The 6,000-nt window shown below is 39.9% G+C and overlaps 1 protein-coding gene across 3 annotated transcripts in view; it reads right to left on the bottom strand.

The window, feature by feature from the left end:
- Nucleotides 1-334: 334 nt before the first annotated feature.
- The window catches only part of MS4A4A (membrane spanning 4-domains A4A), a 28,305-nt gene continuing 22,639 nt past the window's right edge, over nucleotides 335-6,000 (bottom strand). For all 3 annotated transcript variants that reach the window (NM_024021.4, NM_148975.3, NM_001243266.2), the window contains 2 exons: nucleotides 3,104-3,205; nucleotides 335-1,198 (listed from right to left, as the gene is read on the bottom strand). In NM_024021.4, the coding sequence (NP_076926.2) occupies nucleotides 1,127-1,198; nucleotides 3,104-3,205 (174 nt within the window). In that variant the 3' untranslated portion in view covers nucleotides 335-1,126. The remainder of the gene's footprint in view (nucleotides 1,199-3,103; nucleotides 3,206-6,000) is intronic.

Below are 6,000 nucleotides of genomic sequence, written 5' to 3'. Positions count from 1 at the left end.
ATATATATTAATTAAAACTTTCGTGGCTCCATATGTACCAGTCAGAGTCCTGGTTTTTCTACCTTTGTTATACCAAGTAATTATCATAGGTGTATGGGCCAGACAATATTATTACTACCTTCCTAAAAAGAAATATGAAGCACAGAGAAATTTTGTGGCATCTTCATAGCTACATAAGTAGTAAACAACAAAGATGGGATAGCAAGATGAAAACCCAGGGTTGTCTGTTTAGAAAACCCACATTATTTACCACCATACTGTATTTTTGACATCAACGCTTAGTCTCTTTCCACCATATTGCATCTGAAAAGGAAGTAGGTAGCACATGAAAGTATTGCTTCTAATTTGATTTATTTTTGCTCTGCAATAAAAACAAACGTATTTAACAAATACCATATGTTGCACATTTCCATATATGATTAAGATATAATTATGCCCAGTAGAAGGTGGGAGAAGGGAAAGGAAGAAGATGAAATAGAAAATATAAGTTGAATCTGATGCTTAATATGATTTTTACTCCATGTATACTTTTACTCAAATGATAGCTCGTGCACATGCAAGGACGGGCTGTGCTACTTCAAGGTACTTTCTATGGGGAAAGAAAAGCAGGAGAAGGAAAAAGGGAGGGGGAGATGGCCATGCATCTCCACTTCCTGAAGGAAAAAGCACTTTGGTCCCCATAGGTAGGAGAAAAAAAAAGTTAAATAAATGGGAGGGAAGTATGTGTTTTGCATGGAGGCCTCATTTTAACAATATCTTTTTTTTGCTCTTCTGCTTCCAAACCTTATTTGCCAATGTAATGCCTTTATATAAAGTTCTTATGATGAATGAAAAACTTTCAAGTGCTGTTGCCTCATTAAATGCATTATTTATTAATTTAACTTCTAGTACTCTCGATAAAGAGCCAGTGAAATGAGTTATTGAGTTCCAGGGAAAAAAATGAGAACATAATTTTGAATTTATTATCTCTCTATACACACACAGTTCATAATTGGATTACATATAATAATAATATCAACAAGTCTATCAGTATCGAAGTTGGATACTGGTAATTTCTCATGTGAGGCTCTTGTGTCACAGTCAGCATAGATTTCTGGAGCATTTGTCTGTTGATCTTTTGGTGGCCTCAAACCTCATTAAGTGGTGTGGGAGATGCTGTTTCTGCCATGTGAGAATGTGATGGCAGAATTAACACAACCTGTGAAACAATCAGAATGCCAAAGGTGAGTCACCCAAATCACCTCAGAGTGCCCCTTTCCTGCCCACATAAAGTCATCATTATCAGAGTTTACTCTTTTCTTCTCTGATTCATTCTCAAGATCAAGTATGTGGGGTTTCTCAGTCACTCTCTTGATCAGGCCTGATTTAGGACACAACATTCAGTGATAGCTCTTGACCTGAGCTGCTGATGACCACTGCTCTGGTCTCGCAAGTGGATCAATATTACGTGTGGATGACAGTGCACAGTACGTTGGGTAAACCAAGGTGTTATGAAAAATATGGGGCTCTTCTTCCAAACCAGGTTGTTCATGCTGATGACATCAACATACCCAAATCATGATTTGCTAGTTATGAATAATACATTGCAAAAACCACACTGGCCCACACATCACAAAACTAAGAAGAGTTCTGGTTATTCTTCCACAAAGTCAGTGTGACATAGGGTTGGTGGAAGAACAGGAAGAGATAGAGACCTAGCTATCATATGCCCCAAAACCACTGCTTTTCTGAATTCACATCAGGAGATTAGAAAACAACATTCCCCAGCACCTATGCTAAGAGCTGAAGGGAACACAAGCTTAAATATTATGACATGAAACTTACGAAAGAGTTTGCCTCCATGTCCAAACGTTTCACTCAATGAAAATAAAAAGCTTTACTCAATGAAATTATAAAATCATTGGTAATTGCTGAGAATCTCTCCCTTCTCAGGTTTTACAATGCAAAAACCCACTATTAGAGTTAATGTGCTATAGTCAATCTCTCTTCTGTGAGGAAGGGCTGTGGGGGAGTGGGATGTGGAACCCCCACTCTTCTGTGAGGAAGGCCTGGGAACCTCAAAAGAAGACAAAGAGGTGCAAAATGATGGAGAAGGGCACCAGAAGAACCGTCTCATCAAACTATGATTATTTTATTATTTGGCTGTTGGTTTTGTCTGCCTGTGGGCCTTTGGGTAATGAAGCTAATGAGTAGCTGTTGGGGTTTTACTATCCATTTCCTCATTCTGGAACCTTCAACTCTTGGAGGATATCCCTCCCCATTCTTCCTAGAGCTTCTTTCTTGGTCTCTTCTTTCCTTCCATTCCCTGCTTTCCTCTCTCTGTGTGACATTCTTTGGGTTTAGCTGCCAGGAGCAGCATCAGCTGCAGGTCTCAGGGTAAAAGAGTGGGCAGGTGGGCACAGACTGATAGAGAAGTCTGAGATCATGATATTTCATGGAAATATACCAGGAAAAGTTGTTGTAATAGGATAATGGAATAAAATAAAATACTTTTTGGGGACCTCTTCATTGTGAAATATCCTCATATCTGGATTCAGAGGTTATGCACTTCGAGGGAGAAAGGAAGGGGAAAAAGAGCTTTTATGTAGCTACTGTGCGAGGCAGAGTTCTAAGGTGACACTCACTGAACCCTTGTGATTCCCTTCTCTCAAGTGTGGATGGAACCTGTGTATAGGATGAGATACAAGTCCTGTGTGTAGGTACTAACTAGTTGACTTTCAGTTTATCAAGAAAGGCATTATTCTGAATGGACCTCATCCGTTCATGTGAACCCTTTGTGAGAGGATTAAAGCATTAGCAACCGGCTGATTTCAAAGATAAAATACATTGTCATGAGTTCTCCAACTGAGAGGAAATGAATTCCACCACATTAGTATGGAAGAGAATCAGAAGCTCCAAGCAAGGCCACAGCCCCAGCCAACTCCCTGATGACAGCCTTGTAAGATCCTGAGTCAAGGACATACTTCAGCTGGGCTCAGACTCTTGAACCATGGAAACTGAGAGATAATGAATGTGTTCTGTGTTAAGACTCTAAGTGTGTGTAATCGATTACACAGCAATAGAAAACTAATACAGTCATCTTCAAATGAAGGCCAATACTCACCCCACCAGGGGTACAACAGAGCACTTTACATCCAAAGGCAGAGAGGGACACAGCAATGCAGAATTCCAGCACACTTAGGAGGAGCACCATGCCATCCAGACCCTAGGAGAAAACTCATAACAAAGGAATGTGAGAAATGGAGATGACAAGTGAAAACATTTCCCAGTAACCACAATGTCATAAGAGAAAAAGCACTGGCTGGGAGTCAGGAAACCTGCCTCCCAATGGCAGCCATACCCTTGACCAATTCTTGATCTGCTGAAGTAGCTTCTCACTTTTTTCACTGATAAAATAATCACAGACATTTATTCCCTAGTTCAGCACCTCCCAGTGCTATTGTGGGCATGGAAGATGAAAGTGCTTTAAAAAGTTAGGAAGGTAGTATAAAGATAATTGTCATCATATCCTATTGAGTACTAGAAACTCATATCATTGAGAAAATACTATGATTCCATATCTTAGTAATTGTAAGCAGAGAATCTAATCCTCAGCTTCTGGAGATTAGAATGCAGACCTCCCTGGGGGACCATTGTTCTTTTTGAACAGCGAAAAGGATTAAATTTGCAGATGAAATTAAGATTGCTTATTAGCTGATATAAGAGAATTTTCCTGGATTATTCAGGTGGGTTCAAAATAACCATAAAATCCATATAAGTGGAAGCAAGAGCCAGAATAGAGTTCAAGAGAGATTTGAAGATGCTACATCGCTTGATTTGAAGGTAGAAGATGGGATGACAAACCAAGCAACATAGGCAGCCTAAAGAAGCCAGAAAAGGCAATAAAACTTTTTGTTGCCTAAGCCTTCAGAAAGGAGTATGGCCTTGCCAACACTCTGATTTTAGCCTAGTGAGACCCACTTGGAACTTCTAACCTCCAGAAACATAAGATAACCAAACTGTGTTGTCTTAAGACACTAAATTTGTAGTAATTTGTTACAGTAACAATAAGAAGCTAATACAACAATGAACATCAAGTAGGTCAGTCTTTAATCCATCTGCCCAGAGCACTGGCTTTAGGGCTAGTCTTCAGCCAAGAAACATGGTCAAAATTTGGAAAACATTGGGCAGTACACTTATTTCTATTAATTTTCCCCCGGATTGATGCAGGGATTATCTGGTTTAAATATTCTCTCTTTTTCTCTCCATGGTTAGGGATAGTCCCTCTGTTGCAGAAGAGCCAATAGACCAAGAGCTCAGGATATGAGTGAGGCAGACTTAAGGAGACCTTGAGAATATTTGCATTCATTGCTTATTTATTTTCTTGTGCCTTCAACAGCTGTAGTGGCCTCTGTGTTTCCAACATTGTTGTAGGCACAGAAGATAGAGCAGCAAACAAAACAGACAATTCCCCTGTCTTCAAGGATTTTACCATCTAGAAGTGTAGACTAGAAGACGGCAAGCTTTCTGTAAAGGCCAGATAATGTACATTTTAGATTTTGCCGACCATAAGGTCTCTGTCACACATACTCAAACCTGCTGTTATAACACGAAAGCAGCACTCCACAATATGTAAACAAATGGGCTTCGTTGTATTTCAATTAAACTTTATTTATGAAACTTTATTTACAAAAACAGGTACAGGGCTGGGCCTCCAAAAAAAGGTAGCATGTATATAGACCTGTGGACTGATTGTGCAGGTGCCCAGGCAAGAATAGAACCATTACTTCAAATCCCAGGAAGCCCTTATGGAGGTCCTCTGCTATAAGAACAGGCATAAAGATGTTCACACAATTAACAGGAATTCATCATGGACTCTGGGAAAGGTGATTGAGATGAATGGAGGACCAGCTATGTAATTTAGATTCTCTTGTTTAAAATTTTTAAAAACAATTTTAAGATAGCAACAGCAGAGCATTAGATCAAGCACAGGGCTCTTTTAACTGTGAAGTCCTGAGTAACTGCACAGGTCCCATGCCCACGAAATCAGCCCTATCAAGTTGGCCAATTCCAGATTTTGTCTCTATCATTGTGCCCTTAAAATCTACCAATGAAGAGAACTTCGTAAACTAAAAGTAAGGTCCTTCTGCAGGATACAAATAGCAAATAATAGGGGAATTAGAGACAAGAAATTGTAGAATCTAATCTTCCTTTTGCCAGTTTCTAACTGAAAGACCTTGAAAGAATTTGTCAAATTCTCTATAGAAGCTTTTTCTTATTTTGAGCGAGTGGCAAGAAGTAAAATTGCTTACTATAAAAAGCAATAGAAATCTCAAGGGAAGTAAATTAGTTTAGCAAAGACACCTCAAGGGGTTATTTTGGTGTGATTATATAGCCCACAAAACTATGTAGAATTAGCTAGGAATGAAGTAAACAGAATGCAACTGATTCTGCTTAGTAAGTTAGGAAGAATGTTGGGTTTCCACGTTTACATAAGCGAAGAACGTGGTAAGGAAGAGAACTAAGCAGCAAGGTGAAAGGCTGAAAGTTCATATAGAGGGAAAGTAACAAAAAATTTGCAGGTGTTCAAAATGACCAATAGGCTTTCTCTTTTTTTTGAGATGCAGTCTCGCTCTGTTGCCCAGGCTGGAGTGCAATGTGTCCATCTCGGCTCACTGCAACCTCCGCCTCCCAGCTTCAAGCAATTCTCCTGCCTCAGCCCCCCGAGTAGCTGGGATCACAGGCACGTGCCATCATGCCTGGCTAATTTTTGTATTTTTAGTAGAGACGGGGCTTCATCATGTTGGCCAGGCTGGTCTTGAACTCCTGACCTCAGGTGACCCACCCACCTCATCTTCCCAAAGTGCTGGGATTACAGGCGTGAGCCACTGCGCCCTGCCAGGCTTTTTAATAATAAAGATTTAATTGTGCATTTTAGTCTGCTGTGATGTGCTGCAATAACTTTTCCTCCCCACAATTACCCAATGGCCCAAAATATCAAGAAGTTTTACTACCTACAAA

The sequence above is a fragment of the Homo sapiens genome, chromosome 11, assembly GCF_000001405.40.
Source record: "Homo sapiens chromosome 11, GRCh38.p14 Primary Assembly".
NCBI classification, from domain to species: domain Eukaryota; kingdom Metazoa; phylum Chordata; class Mammalia; order Primates; family Hominidae; genus Homo; species Homo sapiens.
The sequence above is the reverse complement of the archived record's forward strand: the minus strand, read 5'-3'. Positions and strand labels throughout refer to the sequence as shown.